Raw genomic sequence first — 22,620 nt, forward strand, 5'->3', positions numbered from 1 at the left:
TCCTCAGGCGGCCTCTTGACTGGGACTCCCCTGGTCTCCTTCCACCTTCGTGGCTCCTTCTCGGCTGGCAATCCCTTTTAATACGGAGGTGATGACTTTCACCCATAGGCAGGTCAACCACAAGCCCAAATCCCAGCCCTGAGCTCCAGGCGACCAATTTCTAACCCTGACCTGGATGCTTGACAGCACCTGGGGTGGGCTGCAAGTTCAGCCAGCGACTTTCCACCTCCCTGTCTCTGATCCTGCTCTACGCCCCCAAATTTAAGAAGTCCTGATGGTTTCCTGCCCCCAAGCCTTCTGCTCATTTCCTCTGCTGTTACTCTGGTCCAGGCCTTCCCACCCCAGCTTTCCAGCTGATCTCACTCTCACTAGTATCACCATACATATGCCTGCCCGGTAATGCTTCCTGGAGCCAATTCTTCCTGTGTTTCCCCTTCTGCAGCTCCACGGGCTTGTTCCTCCAGCCCATGGTCAGCTGCCTCAGCCCCCACTTTCTTGCCTCCTTTCCTTTGTTCATGCTTTTCTGTCTGCCTGCAGTGCTCCACCCCAGCCCTCAGCTCCACATGTCCAATGTTCAGTAGAAGCCCACCCTCAAAAGACCCTGAACTTTTTTTTTTTTTAAGGGAGATAGAAGTCTCGCTCTGTCATGAAGGCTGTGGTGCTGTGGTACAGTCATAGCTCACTGCAGCCTCCACCCCCTGGGCTTGAGCAATCCTTCTGCCTCAGCCTCCCAAGTAGCTAGGACTACAGGTGCACACAACTATGCCCAGCTAATTTTTGTATTTTTTGTAGAAATAGGGTCTCACTGGGTGCGGTGCCTCATGCCCGTAATCCTAGCACTTTGTGAGACCAAGGCAGGCACATGGCTTGAGTCCAGGAGCTTGAGACCAGCCTGGCCAACATGGGGAAATCCTGTCTCTACAAAGAATACAAAAGTTAGCCAAGACTGGTGGTGCACACCTGTGGTCCCAGTGTATCGAATTGGTGGGTTCTTTGTCTCGCTGACTTCAAGAATGAAGCCACAGACCCTCGCGGTGTTACAGTTCTTAAAGATAGTGTGTCCGGAGTTTGTTCCTTCAGATGTTCAGATGTGTCCGAAGTTTCTTCCTTCTGCTAGGTTCGTGGTCTACGCTGACTTCAGGAGTGAAGCTGCAGACCTTTGCAGTGTTACAGCTCTTAAAGGCGGCGCGTCTGGAGTTGTTCGTTCCTTCACGGTGGGTTCGTGGTCTCGCTGGCCTCAGGAGTGAAGCTGCAGACCTTTGCGGTGAGTGCTACAGTTCGTAAAAGTGGCGCGTCCAGAGTTGCTGTCCCTCCCAGTGGGTTCGTGGTCTCGCTGGCTTTAGGAGCGAAGCTGCAAAACTTCACGGTGAGTGTCACAGCTCATGAAGGCGGCACAGACCCAAAGAGTGAGCAGCAGCAAGAGCTATTGCAAAGAGCAGAAGAACAAGGTTTACAAACAACGTTTCCACAATTTGGAAGACTCCCCGACCAGCTTGGTGCCGCTGGTTCCGGCAGCCTGCTTTTATTCCCTTATCTGGCCCCACCCACATCCTGCTGATTGGTCCATTTTACAGAAAGCTGATTGGTCTGTTTAGACAGAGTGCTGATTGGTGCGTTTACAAACCTTTAGCTAGACACAGAGTGCTCATTGGTGCATTTACAATCCTTTAGCTAGACAGAAAAGTTCTCCAAGTCCCCACCTGACCCAGAAGCCCAGCCGGCTTCACCTCTCACTAGCTACTCAGAAGGCTGAGATGGGAGCATCACCTGAGCCCAGGGAGGTAAAGCTGCAGTGAGCTGTGATTGCACCACTTCGTTCCAGCCTGGGAGACAAAGTGAGACCCTGTCTCAAAAAAACAAACCAAAAAAAGAGATGGTGGGCCTCACTACGTTTCCCAGGCTGGTCTTAAACTCCTGGATGCAAGCAATACTGCTACCTCAGCTTCTCAAAGTGTTGGGAATACAAGTATGAGCCACTGTGCTCAGCCTTTTTTTCTTTGTTGTGTGTGTGCCTGTTTTAATTTATAATCCTGTATATATCAACAGATATATCCCACATAACAAAAGCTTTCTGAGATCCTCAGTAATTTTTTTTAACTTTTTTGAGAGACAGGGTCTGGCTCTGTCTCCCAGGCTGCAGTGCAGTGGTACTGTCGTGGCTCACTGCAGCCTTGAATCCTAGGACTCAACTGATCCTCCCACCTCAGCCTCCTGAGTAGCTGGGACCACAGGCTCATGCCACCTCAACTGGCTAATATTTTTTAAATTTTTTTTGTAATTATGAGGGTCTCACTATGTTGTCCAGGCTGGTCTTGAACTCCTCAAGGGATCCTCCCACCTTGGCCTCCCAAAGTGTTAGGATTACAGGTGTGAGCCACCACACCTGGCCTCAATAATTGTAATAGTGTAAAGGAGTCTTGAGATTTAAAAAAGCGAAAACATCTGAGAACTGCTAGCTTCAGTCAGTGGTTTCATAGTATTGTTTGTGAGAAACATTTACATCGATTTCCTGGAGTGTCTGTTAAAATTCAGATTCCTGGACCCCATCCCAAACTACAGAATTAGAATCTATCAAATGTTTTCAGCTAGGTGTGGTGGCTCACACCTGTAATCCCAGCACTCTGGGAGGCCGAGGGTGGCAGATCACTTGAGGTCAGGAGTTCAAGACCAGCCTGGCCAAGATGGTAAAACCCCATCTCTACTAAAAATGCAAGAATTACCGGGGCATGGTGGCAGGCGCCTGTAGTCCCAGCTACTCAAGAGGCTGAGGCACGAGAATCACTTGAACCCGGGAGGCAGAGGTTGCAGTGAGCCGAGATAGTGCCACTGTACTGCAGCTGGGCGACAGAGAGAAACCCTGTCTCAAAAAAAGAAAAATGTGTTTAGCTGGGTGTGGTGGCTCATGCCTATAATCCTAGCACTTTGGGAGGCCAAGATGGCAGGATTGCTTGAGACCAGGAGTTTGAGACCAACCTGGGCAACATAGTGAGAACTTATCTCTACGAAAAAATCTAAAAAAAAGTTAGCTGGGCATGGTGATGCATGCCTCTTGTCCTAGCTACTCAGGAGACTGAGGTGGGAGGATTGCTTGAGCCCAGGAGGTAGAGAGATGCTGCAGTGAGCCATGATCGCACCACTGCACTCCAACCTGGGTAACAGAGTGAAAATCTGTCTCTAAATAAATAAATAAAAATCCAGATTGGGCCAGGCGTGGTGGCTCACGCCTGTAATCCCAGCACTTTGGGAGGCCCAAGGCAGGCAGATCACGAGGTCAGGAGTTCGAGACCAGCCTGACCAAGAGACTAGTCTGGCCAATATGGTGAAACCCCATCTCTACTAAAAATACAAAAATTAGCTGGGCGTGGTGGCAGGCACCTGTAATCCCAGCTACTCAGGAGGCTGAGGCAGAAGAATTGTTTGAACCCGGGAGGCGGAGATTGCAGTGAGCCAAGATTGCACCATTGCACTCCAGCCTGGGTGACAGAGCGAGACTCCGACTCAAAAAAATAAAAATAAAAATAAATAAATAAAAATCTGGCCAGGTGCGGTGGCTCACACCTGTAATCCCAGCACTTTGTGAGGCCAAGGCAGGCGGATCACAAGGTCAGGAGTTTGAGACCAACCTTACCAACATGGTGAAATGCTGTCTCTGCTAAAAATACAAAAATTAGCCGGGCATGGTGGTGCACGCCTGTAATCCCACCTACTCAGGAGGCTGAGGCAGGAGAATCACTTGAACCCAGGAGGTGGAGGTTGTAGTGAGACGAGATCGCACCACTGCACTCCAGCCTGGGTGACAGAGTGAGACTCTGTCTCAAAAAAAAAATTAAATAAAATAAAAAATAAAAATCCATTCATGTTATCACAAGAAATTTCAATTGTACATTTGTTAATGAAAGAAAAGACAATTTCAACTTCTGTAAATTTTTGAATTTAACATTTATTTTAGGATTTGTATTACCTCCTTGAGCTCAAGGGTATCAAGAATTTGAAGAGATCATTCTTTAAAAGTTCTGATTATTATTCCATGTAGCAAATACGCAAATATCAAGCATAAAACTTGATATTGGTCCAGGCACGGTGGCTCACGCCTATAATCCTAGCACTTTGGGAGGCCAAGGCAGGCAGATTACCTGAGGTTAGGAGTTCAAGACCAGCCTGGCTAACATGGTGAAACCCCGTCTCTACTAAAAATACAAAAAATTGGCCAGGCACGGTGGCTCATGCCTGTAATCCTAGCACTTTGGGAGGCCAAGGCGGGCAGATTACCTGAGGTTAGGAGTTCAAGACCAGTCTGACCAACATGGAGAAATCCTGTCTCTACCAAAAATACAAAATTAGCTGGGCGTGGTGGCACATGCCTGTAATCCCAGCTACTAGGGAGGCTGAGGCAGGAGAATCGCTTGAACCTGGGAAGTGGAGGTTGCAGTGAACTGAGATTGCACTATTGCACTCCAGCCTGGGCAACAAGAGTAAAACTCTGTCTCAAAAAAAAAAAAAAAATTTAGCCAGGTGCAGTGGCACACACCTGTAATCCCAGCTACTCGGGAGGCTAAGGCAGGAGAATCGCTTGAACTCCGGAGGCAGAAGTTGCAGTGAGCTGACATCGCGCCACTGCACTGCAGCCTGGGTGACAGAGCAAGACTCTGTCTCAAAAAAACAAAACAAAACAAAACAAAACCTGATATTAAACAGCTACCTTCACAGAAAAGCTAAAACTTGGCCAGGTACAGTGACTCATGACTATAATCCCAGCACTTTGGGAGACCAAGGAGGGAGGACCTGTTTGAACCCAGGAGTGCAAGACCAGCCTGGTCAACACAGCGAGATGTGAGACGCCATCTCTTTTTTTTTTTTTTTTTTGTTTGATACAGTCTTGCTCTGTCGCCCAGGCTGGAGGTCAGTGGTGCGATCTTGGCTCACTTCTACCTCCGCCTCCCGAGTTAAAGTGATTCTCCTGCCTCAGCCTCCTGAGTAGCTGGGACTATAAGCATGCGCCACCATGCCTGGCTAATTTTTGTATTTATTATTTATTTGTATTTATTTGTATTAATTTTTGTATTATATTAGCTCAATATTTAATGCTTTCCCTAATAATTTGATTTTTTTCCAAATCATAATTATACAATATGTAGAAAACATCAATTTTTTTCACCAAATCTGATAGGGATCCAAACTCCCCCCAGTTAACTTCAGTGAGAGATATAAATTGTATCATTTTCTATGTATGCCATGACAGGAAGAAGGTTGAGAAGTACCCATCTAGTAAACTATAATTTCCAATATCTACTTCAACCTTTTGGGTGTCCTCCAAGGGCAGTACCTTGTAAAACACAAGGAATAAATGTTTTGTGAGTGAATGAATGATTGAACAGATCTTCTAGAACTGTGAAAAGCAGCTCTGGGGTGATGAGTATCTCAGTCAACAAAACTGACAGCCTGAGTGTGGGGAAAACACCGTGTGCATTTCAGCTGTCTGCATGGATTGATTCCATTTGGCCTGCTGAATGGTGAGGTAAGGGCTCTGCAGAAGGTGTCAACGCTGAACTTGTCTGTGCTTGCGGAAGCTCAGAAATGATCCTGCCGCAACTCCAGCCTCCCCAGGCTGCCTGGCTGGGGGCTTTCTGTGACACTCATTCGCCTTGCTACAACCTCAACACTCATCTTCACCTTCTTTGTCCCCTAGCCCTAAATAAAAATATATTGTTTAGCATGTTCAGAATGCTTTCATCTGTTAAAGGAAAAAATTTCCTGGCCGGGCGCGGTGGCTCACGCCTGTAATCCCAGCACTTTGGGAGGCCGAGGTGGGCAGATCATCTGAGGTCAGGAGTTGGAGACCAGCCTGGCCAACATGGAGAAACTCTGCCTCTACTAAAAATATAAAAATTAGCCAGGTGTGGTGGCGTGTGCATGTAATTACTCCCAGCTACTCAGGAGGCTGAGGCAGGAGAATTGCTTGAATCCAGGAGGCGGAAGTTGCCGTGAGCTAAGATGGCGCCACTGTACTCCAGCCTGGGTGACAGGGTAAGACTCTGTCTCAAAAAAAAAAAAAGAAAAGAAAAAGAATAAGAAAAAGAAAAAAATTAGCCTGGGCAACATAGTGAGACCCTGTCTCTAAAAAAAAAATATATTTTTTTTTAATTAGCTGGGCACAGTGGCGCACACCTATAGTCCAGCTACTCAGGAGGCTGAGGTAGGAGGATTGCTGGATCCCAGGAGGTGGAGACTGCAGTGAGCTGTGTTTGCACCACTGCACTGCAGCCTGAACAACAAATCGAGACCCTGACAAAAAAAAAAAAAAGATAAAAGTATCTAATGATCCTTGTTAAAGCATGGTAAGGAAAAATATTCAGGACCCTTGAGATAGGTATAGTGACCACTGCAATGGAATCTTGTAGTTGAGGAGAGCGACTGGACTCTCAACCCAATATAGTGTGAAAGGAAAAGAAAATCCCGGGACCCCAGACTCACTATGCCAAAGGAAAAAGTTAAGCTTGGGAACTGAGTATGTAAAACATTGCACTTTTTTTGGTTCCTAAACAGGTAGCTGCAAGACAGAGGCCACATATCTCCCCAGGTGACCTCCCTCATCCTGACAATGTAAATTAACAGCTTATTTTCACAAGTAAGGGACAAAGATAAGACTGGGGATCATTCCCCCGACCCCCACCTCCGCCAACCTGGAGACAAACGCATATTTGACTTCTTCCTCTACTCTATGTTTAGGTTATTTAATGTAAAATGTGGATTTTCTGAATAATTTTATGAACAATTGACTGTCCTCTTTCCCCTCCTGCCCAATTTTCCCGTTTAAATACTGAAGTTCTCAAAATCCTCTTGGGAAAGAGCGCAGGCCACAGATACCACTGTAGCTTGTGTCTTTCCCAGACACATCCTCAACCTTGGCAAAATAAACTTGTCTGAGACCTGTCTCAGACATTATTTGGTTTACAACGGCATGGCAAGTGGGAATTTATAGCCAAAAAGCCAGGTGGGGTGCTAAAGTTTGGCCAAGCAAAGAATCTTTGTGGCCTGGCACGGTGGCTCACGCCTGTAGTCTGAGCACTTTGGGAGGCTGAGGCGGGTGGATCACTTGAGGTCAGGAGCTCGAGACCAGCCTGGCCAACATGGTGAAACACTGTCTCTACTAAAAATACAAAAATTAGCTGGGCATGGCGGTAGGCGCCTGTAATCCCAGCTACTCCGGAGGCTGAGGCAGGAGAATTGCTTGAACCTGGGAGGTGGAGGTTGCAGCGAGCTGAGGTCACACCACTGCACTCCAGCCTGGCCAACAGATCGAGACTCTAACTCAAAAAAAAAAAAAAAATCTTTGTGACATTAAAGCTTGTCAAAATCCCCAGTATTCTATTCACTTTGCCTATAAAGTTACACACTTATCAGCTGGGCACGGTGGCTCAAGCCTGTAATCCCAGCACTTTGGGAGGCCGAGTTGGGCCAATCCTTTGAGGTCAGGAGTTTGAGACCAGCATGGCCAACATGGTGAAACCCTGCCTCTACTAAAAATACAAAAAATTAGCTGGGTGTGGTGGTGCATGCCTGTAGTCCCAGCTATTTGGGGGGCTGAGGCAGGAGAATTGCTTGAACCTAGGAGGTGGAAGTTGCAGTGAGCCAACATTTCGCCACTGCACTCTAGCTGGGTGACAGGGTGAGACTCCCTCTCAAAAAAAAAAAAAAAAAAAAGCCAGGCACAGTGGCTCACGCCTGTAATCCCAGCACTTTGAAGGCCAAGGCGGGTGGATCATTTAAGGTCAGGAGTTCGAGACCAGTCTGGCCAACATGGTGAAACCCCCATCAATACTAAAAATAGAAAAATTAGCCCAGTGGGGTGGTGTGCACCTGTAATCCCAGCACTTTGGGAGGCCAAGACAGGCAGATCTCTTGAGGCCAGGAGTTTGAGACCATCCTGGTCAACATGGCGAAACCCGTCTTTACTTAAAAAAAAAAAAAAAAAAAATTAGCTGGGCGTGGTGGTACATGCCTGTAATCCCAGCTACTGGAGAGGCTGAGGCACAAGAATGGCTTGAACCAGGGAGGCAGACGTTGCAGTGAGCCGAGATGGTGCCACTGCACTCCAGCCTGGGCAACAGAGTGAGGCTCCATCTCAAAAAATAATAAAATAAAATAAAATATAAAATAAAATAAAATAAGCCTCCTATGGGCAGGAGAGAGGAAGGGGAGAGCATGAATTTATCTCAGAGACCCACCCAGTGAGGCTGAATGTTATGCAGTTTCAGAATCAAGCCAGGAGAGGGCACAGAAAACTTCTACTTGATGATCTAACAAAGGAAAAAAGATAATTCAGGAAATGGACAGAGTTCTCCTTCAATTAGTCAGGTGACACAGTTTATGTCACCTCCTAAATCACTGGAAAAAAATTTAGTCAATGTAATTTCATCCTGAAATCTCAACAGTTTTATTATACAATGGGTATCATAATGTCATCTGTGTACCATTTAATTTTTTTTTTTTTTGAGACGGAGTATCACTCTGTCACTCAGGCTGGAGTGCAGTGGTGCAATCTCAGCTCACTGCAACCTCTGCCTCCCAGGTTCAAGCGATTCTCCTGCCTCAGCCTCCTGAGTAGCTGGGATTACAGGCATCCGCGATCATGCCTGGCTAATTTTTGTATTTTTAGTAGAGACGGGGTTTCACATGTTGGTCAGGTTGGTCTCGAACTGCTGACCTCGTGATCCACCCGCCTCGACCTCCCAAAGTGCTGAGATTACAGGCATGAGCCACCGCCCCCGGCCCTCATTTAATTTTTTATTGAAGAAAATATTCAGATTTCTTTCAAGCCCCAGCCAGTCACCTATGCATTCTTTTAGATGGCATTTCGCTTTGCCCAAGGAGGTCAGCTGCTTCTGAGTAGTCCTTCTTCCTCTGCAAAGTAGGGACTATAACCTTTCCTGACTTTCCAGTGATGATGTTCACCATCAACCTGGTCCTTAGAGAGGAAGGAAGCATTAGACAAATGCAAGAGCTAATTATTAATTATGAACTATATGCTCTGGGTACATAGATCTGACTCAAGTTATTAGTAAGAATGAATACTTGATAATTGATGATTAACAGGACTGTAGCTTAAAACCAAGGTTCTAAAGTGCACAAAGGTCAAGGACATGTAGAAAAATGCTGTTTAGACAAATCCAAATATAAGCCAACTTGTGCTAGGCAATTAAACCCAGAAAAACATTATTAAGCACTTTTGGAAGGTAAGAATTAATGCTTGAAGTGCAGATATAGACATCTCATACAAATAAAGCATGTATGATACATTTCCTATAGTATAACATAAATGGTTTGATAAAGTATTTGTTCTCTTCTTTTTTTTTTAGAGACTGGGTCTCTAAAAAAAAAAAAAAAAAAAGCTCAATGATCAATCATTTCGTTACTCATGCTTATGTAATGAAACCTTCATCAAATCTTGATAGAATGGGGTTCAAGGAGCTTCCAGGTTGGTGAACATACGGAGCTGCGGGGAGGGTGGCGTGCCTGAGGAGGGCATGGAAGCTCCAGATCCCTTCCCATGTTCCTTGCCCTATGCAGCTCTTCCACTGGCTGTTCCTGTTATATTCTTTCATAATAAATGGCAATCTGGTTAGTAGACCGTTCTGAGTTCTGTGAGCTGTCCTAGCAGATGATCAAACCCAGAGAGGAGGGAATGGTGGGAACTTCTAATTTATAGCGAGTCTGCAAGAAGTACAGGTGACAACCTGGGACTGGCACCCAGTGTCTGAAGTGGGGGCAGTCTTAAGGGACTAAGCCTGTAACCTGGGGAATCTGATGCTATTTCCAGGTAGATAGTGTCAGGATTGAGATAAATCATAGGACACTGCTAAAGTTTGGATGTTTATTCCCTACAAATCTCATGCTGAGCGTTTATCCCCTAATGGCAGGGTGTGGGTCATGCGGGTAGATCCCTCATGAATAACCAATGCCTTGTTGCGGGGAAGGGGTCAGTGAGTTCTCACTCTTTTCCCTCCCACAAGAGCTGATTGCTAAAAATAGCCTGGCGCCTCCCCTGTCTCTCTCTCTCTTGCTGCGAGATCTCTGCACACACTGGCTCCATTTCACCATTTGCCATGAGTGGAAGCAGCCTGAAGCTTTCACCAGCTTCTCCATCTTCCAGCCAGCAGAATTGTTAGCCAAGTTAACTTCATTTTGTTGTTGTTTGTTCGTTTTTTGTTTGTTTGGTTTTTTTTTGGGATGGAGTCTCACTCTGTCCCCAGGCTGGAGTGCAGAGGCACGATCTCAGCTCACTGCAACCTCTGCCTCCGGGTTCAGGCAATTCTCCTGCCTCAGCCTCCCGAGTAGCTGGGATTACAGGTGCCCACCACCACACCCAGCTAATATTTTTGTATTTTTAGTAGAGATGGGGTTTCACCATATTGGCCAGGCTGGTCTCAAACTCCTGATGTCAGGTGATCCACCTGCCTTAGCCTCCCAAAGTGCTGGGACCATAGGCATGAGCCACCGCGCCAAGCCCTTAACTTCATTTTTTGATAAATTACCCAGCCTCAGGCATTCCATTATAGCAAGAGACTGACAGACACCCTCCTAAGGTCTGCAGAGAATTGTAGAATTTTTTGGTGTGAACCCCCACGCCCCACCACCACCACATTAGGAGCCAGTGGAGAAGGAAATGGAATCTTCCCTTTCGATCAAATAAGCCCCTTTTCTCTTGGAATTGCCCTTTGATTTTTCTCAGTGTTAGTCTTTCTTTTAAAATCTTTAATATTTTCCTGATTACACCTAATACATATGTATTGTACAAAGTATAAGTTGACCATAGTCTGCTCCTACTCCTGCTCAAGGTTGTTTGTTTGTTTTGTTTTGTTTTGTTTTGTTTGAGATGGAGTCTTGCTGTGTTGCCCTGCCTGGAGGGCAGTGGTGCAATCTTGGCTCACTGCAACCCTCCGCCTCCTGGATTCAAGCAATTCTTCTGCCTCAGCCTTCTGAGTAATTGGGATTACAGGTGCCCACCACCACAGCCAGCTAATTTTTGTATTTTTAGTAGAGAAGGGGTTTTGCCATGTTGGCCAGGCTGGTCTCGAACTCCTGGCCTCAAGTGATCTGCCCACCTCAGCATCCAAAAGTGCTGGGAAAAAAGTGTGGGGATTACAGGCACCTGGCCTCAAGGTTGTACTTTAATTCATATGAGACTTTGGAAAAAGTACAGGTTTCTCCTGTACAAATTGTTGGCAATGTGTCCTTTTTTCACCTTAAAATGCCTGGAAATCTTTCAGATAAGCTTTTTAAAAAAGCTTTTTTTTAGGTGTAATTTACATACCACAAAATTCACCCATTTTTAAGTGTACAAGTTAATGATTTTTCGTCCCCTTGTGCAACCATCACAACTCAGTTTTAGAACATTTCTATCACCCCCAAAAGTTCCTTCATGCCTATCAAAGCTTTTTAAAGGGTGCGTTTTTGTGGATAATTACAATCATGAGTAACAAGTCCCAGAAATGTCCATTTTGCCTGGCTTCCTTTTGCTGCCGGCAGGCAAAAAGAAAATTGCAAAAGCCCATCAACAAATGTTGGAAGAAAACACCATAAGCTGATCAACAGCTGTCTGCTAAAAATAGTTTATTCATGCTCTCCAGCTTTTAGTGAATGTCAGCCAAGTGCCAGGCATTGGTTAAGTCTGTTAGGGATATCAAGACAGGATAATAGCTTCCCCTGGAAGTAATTGGATATGAGTTCAATAGTATACAACCTCACTTAAAACAGTTTCCATATTCAATGGTTTGGGGTGGTAAAAGTGTGCCAGGTGGGTGTGATATTTGGACTTCCACTTCCAGAACTGAAGATAAACAGGGGCTAGATTTACTTTCCCACATAAACAACCAAAATACGGATCCCCAAAATGTAACAAATGGTCTTTAAGACACCGGATATCACGCAACAAAGGACAGAAATCCCTGAAAAAAGTACAAATGGCTGGGCGCGGTGGCTCACGCCGGTAATCCCAGCACTTTCGGAGCCCGAGGCGGGCGGATCACGAGGACAGGAGTCCGAGACCAGTCTGGCCAATATGGTGAAACCCCGTCTCTACTAAAAATACAAAAATTAGCCGGGTGTGGTGGTACACGCCTGTAGTCCCAGCTACTCGGGAGGCTGAGGCAGAAGAATCGCTTGAACCCTGGAGGTGGAGGTGGCAGTGAGCTGAGATCGCGCCACTGCACTCCAGCCTGGGCAACAGTGCCAGACTCCGTCTCAAAAAAAAAAAAGTACAAGTGAAGTGAGCCCTATTATTGCTCCAGCTTACTGCCTTGAGGGTTTCCAGGCTCTACTGCAAGAAGAGCAAAGTGAGGAAGGGCCTGGTGGAATCCCGGAGCTGAGGAGACAGAGCTGAGTCCAGGGAGACCAAGGTAGCCAGATGGAAAGGACAGAGTACCAGAGAAAGAGAGTTGTTCAGACAGAACCCCAGAGATCTGTAAAAGGTCCCCGCCTCTAGCATTCAGCAGAGTACTGTTCAGGATACATATGTAAGAAAACTACACAAGGCTGGGGAAAGAACCACGTAAAAGGATTACTACAGCGATTCCTAACCTTTTTGGAGTTTCGGGATGAAACTCTTCCACCTCAGTTCATCAGACGTTCGTTAGATTCTCATAAGGAGTGGGCAACCTAGATCCCTCACGTGCACAGTTCACAATAGGGTTTGTGCTGCTATGAGAATGGAATACTGCTGCTGATCTGACTGGAGACAGAACTCAGGCAGTAATGCTCGCTCGCCTGCCACTCACCTCCTGCTATGCGGCCCGGCTCTTAACAGACCACCAACTGGTACTAGTCCGCGGCCTGGAGACTGGGACCCCTGGATTAGAAGGAATAGTGCCTACTCCTATGATCCAGATTGGAAAAACTCGTAATGTGTGGGGCATTGGAAAGAGTACTTATGAAGGTCTTGCCTCAGGGGAATAATTAGCCCTAGAGTTGGCATTGCTCTGGTCCTGCCTAACAAATCTTTTTTTTTTTTTTTTTTTTTTGAGACACAGTCTCACTCTGTTGTCCAGGCTGGAGTGCAGTGGCATGATGTCCGCTCACTGCAACCTCCACCTCCGGGATTCAAGTGATTCTCCTGCCTCAGCCTCCCGAGTAGCTGGGATTACAGGCATGTGCCTCCACGCCCAGCTCATTTTGTAATTTTAGTAGAGATGGGGTTTCTCCATGTTGGTCAGGCTGGTCTTGAACTTCCGACCTCAGGTGATTCGCCTGCCTTGGCCTCCCAAAGTGCTGGGATTACCGGCGTGAGCCACAACGCCCAGCAGTTAAAGACTTTCTAACAACAAAAAGCTTAATACTTTTTTTTTTTCTTTTGAGATGGAGTCTCTCTGTCGCCCAGGCTGGAGTTCAGTGGCGCAATCTCGGCTCACTGCAACATCTGCCGCCCAGGTTCATGCGATTCTCCTGCCTCAGCCTCCCGAGTAGCTAGGATTACAGGTGCCTGCCACTGTGCCCAGCTAATTTTTGTCGTTTTTATTAGAGATGGGGTTTCACCATCTTGGCCAGGCTGTTCTTGAACTCCTGACCTCGTGATCCACCTGCCTTGACCAGCCAAAGTGCTGGGATTACAGGCGTGAGCTACCGTGTCGCTGGATACTTTTTTTTTTTTCGAGATGGAGTTTTGCTCTTGTGGCCCAAGCTGGAGTGCAGTGGTGCCATCTTGGCTCACTGCAAACCCCGCCTCGTGGGTTCAAGCAATTCTCCTGCCTCAGCCTCCCGAGAAGTTGGGATTACAGGCGCCCACCACCATGCCTGGCTAATTTTTGTATTTTTAGTAGAGATGGGGTTTCACCATGTTGGCCAGGCTGGTCTCAAACTGCTGACCTCAGGTGATCCCCCCGCCTCGGCCTCCCAAGTGCTGGGATTACAGGCTCGAGCTACCACACCCAGCCAGCTTGATATTTTTAAGCCCATTATTTCCAATATTGTGAATTCTCAGATTTTCAAGTAATAAAATAAGCAAAATGAATCCTTAATAAAAATTCTATCTTGGCAACGCTATTTGTCATTTCCATCCTATGACTTTCTCTTCATATGTAACTGAAATTTCATAAATATTAAGAAATTGTTGTTTGGGCATAAGAATCAGATATGGAAAGGAGGCAATTGTGCTATTAACCGTGTCACTTAGGGCTACTGCTATTTGAGGCGTGCATCACACCAGCAGAATCATATACACCTGGGAGCTTGTCAGAACTGCAGAAATTCTCAGGACCTGCTCCAGACCTAATGAATCAGAATATACAGTTTAACAAGGTTCCTGGCCGGGCGCGGTGGCTCACGCCTGTAATCCCAGCACTATGGGAGGCCGAGGGGGGTGGATCACGAGGTCAGGAGTTCAAGACCAGCCTGGCCAAGGTGGTGAAACCCCGTCTCTACTAAAAATACAAAAATTAGCCGGGCGTGGTGGTGTGCGCCTGAAATCCCAGCTACTCAGGAGGCTGAGGCAGGAGAATTGCTTGAACCCGGGGGGCAGAGGTTGCAGTGAGCCAAGATCGCACCACTGCACTCCAGCGTGGGTGACAGAGTGAGACTCCGTCTTAAAAAAACAAAAGATTGCTAAGTGGTTACTACACACATTTGAGAAGCACTGGCCCTCTCCATGCAATACATTGAGCAAATACAGTCACATGTCACATGATCTTTAGTCAACAACAGACTGCATATAAGACAGTGGTTCCATCAGATTACAATATTGTATTTTTATTGTACCATTTTTAGTGTACCCTTTCTATGTTTAGATACAAAAATACCAACCATTGTGTTACAATTGCCTACAGTATACAGTACAGTAACATGCTGTAGAGATTTGTAGCGTAGGAGCAGTAGGCTGTATCATATAGCCTAGGTGTGCAGTAGGCTATACTATCTAGGTTTGCGTAAGTACACTCTATGGGCAGGACTCAGTGGCTCATGCCTGTAATTCCAACACTTTAGAAGGTCAAGGCAGGAAGACTGCTTGAGCCCAGAAGTTGGAGACCAGACTGGGCAACAGAGGGAGAAACCCTGTCTATACAAAAAAAATTAAAATTAGCCGGCTGTGGTCTAGACATGGTAGCTCAGGCCTGTAATCCCAGCACTTTGGGGGGCTGAGGCAGGTGGATTGCTTGAGACCAGGAGTTCGAGACCAGCCTGAGAAACATAGCAAGACCCTTTCTCTATAAAAAGAAAATTAAAATATACAAAAATATATAATTTAATTTTAAAAAATTAGTCTGGCATGGTGATGCAGGCCTGCAGTCCCAGCTACTCAGGAGGCTGAGGCAGAAGTATCACAGCAGATCGAGGTTGCAGCGAGCTGTCATGGCACCACTGCACTGCAGCCTGAGCGACACAGCAAGACCCTGTCTCAAAAACAAAACAAACAAACAAAAAAACTCTATGATATTCCAATGATAGATTCACCTAAGATGCATTTCTCATATCTCTGTTAAACAATGCATGACTATAATTTCTCCGGTCATGTTTCCTTATGTCTGAAAACAAAGGGCACTGAAACCTGTTTGTTCACTTTAGTTCACAGGCTGATTAGAAAAGTAAGTAAAATCCAATCCAAATATAAATTAAATACACGTGAAATACCAAACCCTCTAGTAAACAGCGAGCTACATACAAGTCCCAGACACTCCACGACCGTTTCTAGATTGAAAATCCTAGGCCAGGCGCAGTGGCTCACACCTGTAATTCCAGCACTTTGGGAGGCCGAGGTGGGTGGATCACGAGGTCAGGAGTTCAAGACTAGCCTGGCCAAGATGGTGAAACCCCGTCTCTACTAAAAAAAAAAAAAAAAAAAAAAAAAAAAAAAAAAAATTAGCTAGGCGTGGTGGTGGGCGCCTGTAATCCCAGCTACTGGGAGACTGAGGCAGAGAACCCGGGAGGCAGAGGTTGCAGTGAGCCGAGACCGCGCCACTGCACTCCAACCTGGGCGACAGAGCGAGACTCCATTTCAAAAAAAAAAAAAAAAGAATATTTAAGTCTTTTCACTTCTGGGAATACACACACACACACACATATATATTTAATCGAAACACGTTACCTTTCACTCAACAACTATTCAAGACAGAAACCATTTCGGGTAAGCAGACTCCTACAGGGTCCCTACTGCACATTTCTCATCGGTGGTCAAAGCAACAAAACGTGAACTAAGCCACAGGGTAGCTGCAGGAAGCTCTATGCCTGGGACCACTACAGGCAGGCACTAGTTTCCCTGTCCACCACTGCCCGAAATGGAGTCGGGCCCGGTTCTCCTGAGCTGAGCAGGCCAAAGCAGGGAGTCCGTGAGTGGACCGGGCATAGCCAGAGCGACGCCGCAGCACCCCAGCCGCAGGGTCAGCCCCAAAAGCAGCAGGGCCCGCTTGATCGCGGATGCCGGGACGCCCTCGTGCAAGCCTCGAAGGGGGGCTGCCACCCCGAACATTCGCCAGAACGAAAGCGGCAGCCAGGAGAAGCCCTCGCAGGTGCTGTAGGGATCCAAGCGCTTGAGCTGAGTCCGAAACTCGCACAGCAACCTCGGGAGGATAAACTCCAGCAACCAGAATCGGGTTGGCGTCGCCTAGCAACCAGGAGCCAAATGCGCGGACGCCAGGCATTGGCCTGCACGTGTCACGTGAGCCAGCGCCGCTGCCCAGTGGGAGATTACGCCGCAGGCACGTGATGCGGCGCAACCGCCCTTTGGCAGAGCTTTTCGCGAAGGCAGTTGTGGCTCTGAGCGCATAGGCGAGGCATTCCTGGGGTTTGCGCCGTATCCTTTTACAAAGTCCTGGCTTTGGCTGGTGCGACCAAAGAAAGGAAACCGGCGCTTGAGACTTGTCTGGGCTGGCTATGGTGAAGCAGTGAAACGGTGCAGAATTGTGTCAATGAGGCTAGTTCAGTTGTGCAAGAGCATTTCCTCAAAGTAAGACAGAAGCTTTTAGTTACGTCAACACCTGCTAATGTTAGGCTGGCCAGAAATTTCCTGACAAATAATGGGTGAAGGTCGGGCGTGTGGTCGCTCATGCCTGTAATCTCAGCGCTTTGGGATCACTTGAGGTCAGGAGTTCGAGACCAGCTTGGCCAACTAGGCGAAACCCCATCTCTACTGAAAGTACAAAAATTAGCCGTGTGTGGTGGCGCGCATCTGTAATCCCAGCTACTCTGGAGGCTGAGGCAGGACAATCGCTTGAACCCAGGAGGCAGAGGTTGCAGTGAGCTGAGATCACGCCACTTAAAAGAAACGAAACTTTGCTGGTGACCATGTGGTGATGAAACTGAGCGTTTTGGAGCGCAGCAAGGTGACTCCCCATGTAATTAGTATAGACAGAGAGTTTGTGCTCTAAAGGTTAGAAATAAATGTTTTCGGCCTGGTGGCTCATGCCTGTAATCCCAGGACTTTGAAAGGCTGAGCCAGGCGGATCACCTGAGGTCAGGGTTCGAGACCAGCCTGGCCAACATGGTGAAACCCGTCTCTATTAAAGATACAAAAATTAGCCAGGCGGAAGAAGTCACTTAGCTCTTCGCTGGTTGTCACACGTCCGGAGGCCGAGCCGTCGCGTACCTAGGATACCTGGAAGCCGAAGCCACACCTCCCGCATGGCCCCTCCGGCCAGCCGGGCCCCTCAGATGAGAGCTGCACCCAGGCCAGCACCAGTCGCTCAGCCACCAGCAGCGGCACCGCCATCTACAGTTGGCTCTTCTGCTGCTGCGCCCCGGCAGCCAGGTCTGATGGCCCAGATGGCAACCACTGCAGCTGGCGTGGCTGTGGGCTCTGCTGTGGGGCACATACTGGGTCATGCCATTACTGGGGGCTTCAGTGGAGGAAGTAATGCTGAGCCTGCGAGGCCTGACATCACTTACCAGGAGCCTCAGGGAACCCAGCCGGCACAGCAGCAGCAGCCTTGCTTCTGTGAGATCAAACAGTTTCTGGAGTGTGCCGAGAACCAGGGTGACATCAAGCTCTGTGAGGGTTTCAATGAGGTGCTGAAACAGTGCCGACTTGCAAACGGATTGGCCTAATCAAGAAGTTCAACCTGGAGAGATGGAAAATCAGCTCTCATACTAATTAATTTAGTATAAAAATAGAATTGGTAGTGAGGGTATAAAGTGTAAGCATCAGTTAAACTTCTCCTGTCATTCCTAGCTTCCTTGCTTCAGAATTGAAATGGAAGGGAGGGTGTTCCTACTCTGTAGAATCTGGGACTGGGCAAATGTTTGTGTGGCCTCCTTAAACTAGCTGTTATGATTTTATTCTTTGTGAGTTAATTAGAATAAAGTCATTTTCTTCCAAAAAAGAAAAAAAAAATAGCCAGGCATGGTGGTGCACGCCTTTAATCCCAGCTACTAGGGAGTCCGAGGCAGGAGAATCGCTTGAACCTGGGAGGCAGAGGTTGCAGTGAGCCGAGGTGTGCCACTGCACTCCAGCCTGGGCAACAGGATGAGACTCCGTCTCAAAAAAAAAAATAATAAATATTTTCACTCCACAACTGTCTTCCAATTTGGAGAGTCTGCCGTTTACTAGCTATGTGAACTCGGGTACATTAATTAAAATCCCCATGCCTCAGTTTCTTTATCCATGAAATGGGAATGATTACTCACAGTTCCTGTCTCTGAGGACTTCTAGAAGGATGAAATGAGGTCTTACATGTAGCAATATAAACTGGTGGTGAGGACTGAGCTTGAGTCAGATTACCTGCTTTGAATCCTTGTGCCGTCATGTACTGCTTGTGTATCCTTAGACAAGAGACTGTCCCTCCTCTATCCTTCAGTTTCATCTGTAAAATGAAGATAATACCTCCTAGGATTTCTGTGAGAATTAAGTGACTCAATACACATAAAGTGCTTAGAAGAGTGTCCGGCACAAAGTCAATATTTGGAAATGTTAGCAATCATTTGGAAGGTGCTTGACGCACAGCGTTGATCGATAAATGGGACCTATTCTTCTTGGTAGCACTGCTGGTCTAGAGCAGGATTCTGGTTTCTGAGCTCTCCCTGCTCTCAACCTCCACTCCACCCCATCCTGACTTAAAATTAAGGACTGGAAATATCTCTAGCCATTTATGGTCACAGGTAATGGAGGTTCAAAGTGTGTCTCATAGAGTGATGAGAAAAGTAGGAGTCTACACTCTGAGCCAGATCCCAAGACGCTATTGAGCAGAGTCCAAAAGGGGTGAGGCCCAAGAGGAAAGCAGCTGAGGGGCAGAGCTGTGGGAACTCTGCTACAGAAGTGATTCTCTTAAGAGAGGCAGGGGGTGGTGGGGAGAGTTCAGTGAGCAGAACTGTGAGCAGGCGGGTCTGCCACAAAAGCTTGTTGGATCTAGGTGGGAGGGTGTTGTAAAATATCCTAAATCCAACCCTAACCCATTCCAAGGAGTTGAATCTTGGATCTGAATCCTAGTACAACACAGAGTACTTCTTGGATACTGGGATTTATTGATCGTGTATCATTTCTTGGGTTTACTTTCCCTCAACTCAGAAGTCATTCCTCCCTCTCCCTCATTCTCCAGGTCCAACCCATTGGCAAGTCCTGTTGACTTTTCAAAGTATCTCTCTAATTCACCTGCTTCTCTCTCTTTTGTCACCACCTTTCTAGCCCCATTAACATTTTTGTGTTTCTCCTTTTGCCCGGTACAACCCATTCTCAACAGCCAGTGTGAACTTTTCAAAACTAATTTTTAACAACTTTATTGAGATTAAATCACATATCACAAAATCACCCATTTAAAATGTACAATTCAGCCGGGCGCAGTGGCTCACGCCTGTAAACCCAGCACTCTGGGAGGCCAAGGTGGGTGGATCACCTGGGGTTGGGAGTTCAAGACCAGCCGAACCAACATGGAGAAACCCTCTCTCTACTAAAAAATACAAAAGAAGCCGGGCATGGTGGCACATGCCTGTAATCCCAGCTACTAGGGAGGCTGAGGCAAGAGAATCACTTGAACCCAGGAGGCGGAGGTTGCAGTGAGCCGAGATCGCGCCACTGCACTCTAGCCTGGGCAACAGAGCAAGACTCTGTCTCAAAAAATAAATAAAATGTACAATTCAGTGGTTTTTGGTATATTCACAGGTGTGTATAACAAACACCACAAATCAATTTTAGAACATTTTCATTACTCCAAAAAGATATTCTATACCCATTAGCAGTCACTTCCCATATACTGCCATCCCCCGATTCTCCACAAGCCCTAGGCAACCACTAATAAACTTTGTCTGCCAGGTGCGGTGGCTCACACCTGTAATCCCAGCACTTTGGGAGGCTGAAGCAGGTGGATCATCTGAGGTCAGGAGTTTGAGACCAACCTGGCCAACATGGTGAAACCCCTTCTCTACTAAAAATACAAAAAATTAGTCAGGCGCAGTGGTGGGCACCAGTAGTCCCAGCTAATCGGGAGGCTGAGGCAGGAGAATGGCGTGAACCCGGGAGGCGGAGCTTGCAGTGAGCCGAGATCACGCCACTGCACTCCAGCCTGGGCAACAGAGCAAGACTCCATCGCAAAAAAAAAAAAAAAAAAAAAAAAAATTACCTGGGCGTGGTGGCAGGTTTTATTTTTTTTCCTCAAAAATAAATAAATAAATAAAATAAACTTTGTCTCTTATGGACTGCCTTTTCTGGATATTTCATATAATTGGACTCATACAGTATATATCTCTTGTTACTGGCTCCTTTAACTTAGCATAACATTTTCATGGTTAATCTATGTGATAGTATATATCAATACTTTTATTTTAATTTTTTTAAAGGGGCTTTCCAGTGAAGACCAGAAAACCTGCTAAACAAATTCTTTTTTTTTTTTTTTTTTTTTTTTTGAGATGGAGTCTCACTCTGTCACCCAGGCTGAAGTGCAGTGGCACGATCTTGGCTCACTGCAACCTCTGCCCACCGAGTTCAAATGATTCTCCTGCCTCAGCCTCCTGAGTAGTTGGGATTACAGGCACCTGCCACTGCACCCGGCTAATTTTTTGTATTTTTAGTGGAGATGGGGTTTCACCATCTTGGCCAGGGTGGTCTTGAACTCCTGACCTCGTGATCAACCCGCCTCGGCCTCCCAAAGTGCTGGGATTACAGGCGTGAGCCACCGCGCCTGGCCCTGCTAGACAAATTCTAAAAGAACTGTAGCACTAATACTTCTTTTTCGGTTGCCAAATAATATTCTTTTATATGGATATACCACATTTTATTTATCCATTCATCAGTTGATGGATACTTGTTTCTACTTTTGGCTATTACGACTAATGCTGCTATGAACATTTATGTACAAGTTTTTGCGTGGATATATATTTTTATTTTCTTGGGTATATTTTGGGGGGTAGAATTTCTGGATCATTTGGTAACTCTTTGTCTAAGTTTGTTTGCTTGTTTATCTGTTTTTTAAGACAGGGTCTTGCTCTGTTTCCCAGGCTGGAGTGCAGTGGTGCAAGCTCGGCTCACTGCAAACTCCACCTCCCAGGTTCAAGCAATTCTCCTGCTTCAGCCTCCCAAGTAGCTGGGACTACAGGCGTGTGCCACAACACCCAGCTAATTTTTGTATTTTTAGTAGAAACAGGGTTTCACCGTGTTTGCCAGGATGGTCTTGAACTCCTGACCTCAAGTGATCCACCTGCCTCAGCCTCCCAAAGTGCTGATATTACAGGCGTGAGCCACTGCACCTGGCCCCCCCACCTTTTTTTTTTTTTTTTTTAAGAAATGGGGTCCCATAATGTTAACCAGGCTGGTTCCAACTCCTGGGCTCAAGTGATCCTCCCACCTCAGTCTCACAGTGCTGGGATTATAGGCATGTGCCACTGTGCCTATCCTGTATGTCTAACTTTTTGAGGAACTGTCAAACTTTTTTCCAAAGTGGCTGCACCATTTTACATTCCCGCCAGCAGTCTATTAGGGGTTCCTATTTCTCCACATCCTCATCACCACTTGTTATCATCTGCCTTTTTTTTTTTTTTTTTTTTTTGAGTATCTTTTTGGACAGAGTCTCCCTCTGTCCCCCAGGCTGGAGTGCAGTGGCACATTCTCGGCACGCTGCAACCTCCACCTCCAGGGTTCAAGCAATTATCCTGCCTCAGCCTCCAGAATAGCTGGAGTTATAGGCGCATGTCACTATAGCCGGCTAATTTTTATTTTTTTATTTTCATTTTTTTGAGATGGAGTCTCACTCTGTCACCCAGGCTGGAGTGCAATGGCACGATCTCGGCTCACTGCAACATCCACCTCTTGGGTTCAAGCAATTCTCCTGCCTCAGCCTCCCAAGTAGCTGGGATTACAGGCACACACCATCATGCCCAGCTAATTTTTATATTTTTAGTAGAGACGGGGTTTCACCATGTTAGTCAGGCTGGTCTCGAACTCCTGACCTCGGGATTCGCCCTCCTCTGCTTCCCAAAGTGCTGGGATTACAGACATGAGCCACCGCATCCGGCCTAATTTTTATATTTTTAGTAGAGATGGGGTTTCACCGTGTTGGCCAGACTGCTCTCGAACTCCTGGCTTCAAGTGATTTGCCTGCCTTGGCCTCCCAAAGTGCTGGGATTACAGGTATGAGCCACCACGCCCAACTCTGTCTTTTTTATTATAGCCATCCTAGTGAGCATAAAGTGGTATCTCATTTTGGTTTTACTTTGTAT

General features: G+C 46.7%; 1 long non-coding RNA gene and 3 pseudogenes across 1 annotated transcript; 1 reads left to right on the forward strand and 3 right to left on the reverse strand.

Moving 5' to 3' along the window:
- Positions 1-1,202: 1,202 nt before the first annotated feature.
- Positions 1,203-16,524, reverse strand: LOC124903854 (uncharacterized). Its single transcript, XR_007065483.1, has 3 exons — positions 16,070-16,524; positions 8,831-8,965; positions 1,203-1,423 (listed from the first exon to the last, which is right to left on the reverse strand). It is a non-coding gene; the product is annotated as an uncharacterized LOC124903854 (long non-coding RNA).
- On the forward strand, positions 17,509-18,295 carry CHCHD2P6 (coiled-coil-helix-coiled-coil-helix domain containing 2 pseudogene 6; annotated as a pseudogene).
- LOC124904764 (uncharacterized) lies at positions 20,744-20,787 on the reverse strand (annotated as a pseudogene).
- Positions 21,059-21,126, reverse strand: RNU7-179P (RNA, U7 small nuclear 179 pseudogene; annotated as a pseudogene).

The sequence above is a fragment of the Homo sapiens genome, chromosome 1, assembly GCF_000001405.40.
Source record: "Homo sapiens chromosome 1, GRCh38.p14 Primary Assembly".
NCBI classification, from domain to species: Eukaryota; Metazoa; Chordata; class Mammalia; order Primates; family Hominidae; genus Homo; species Homo sapiens.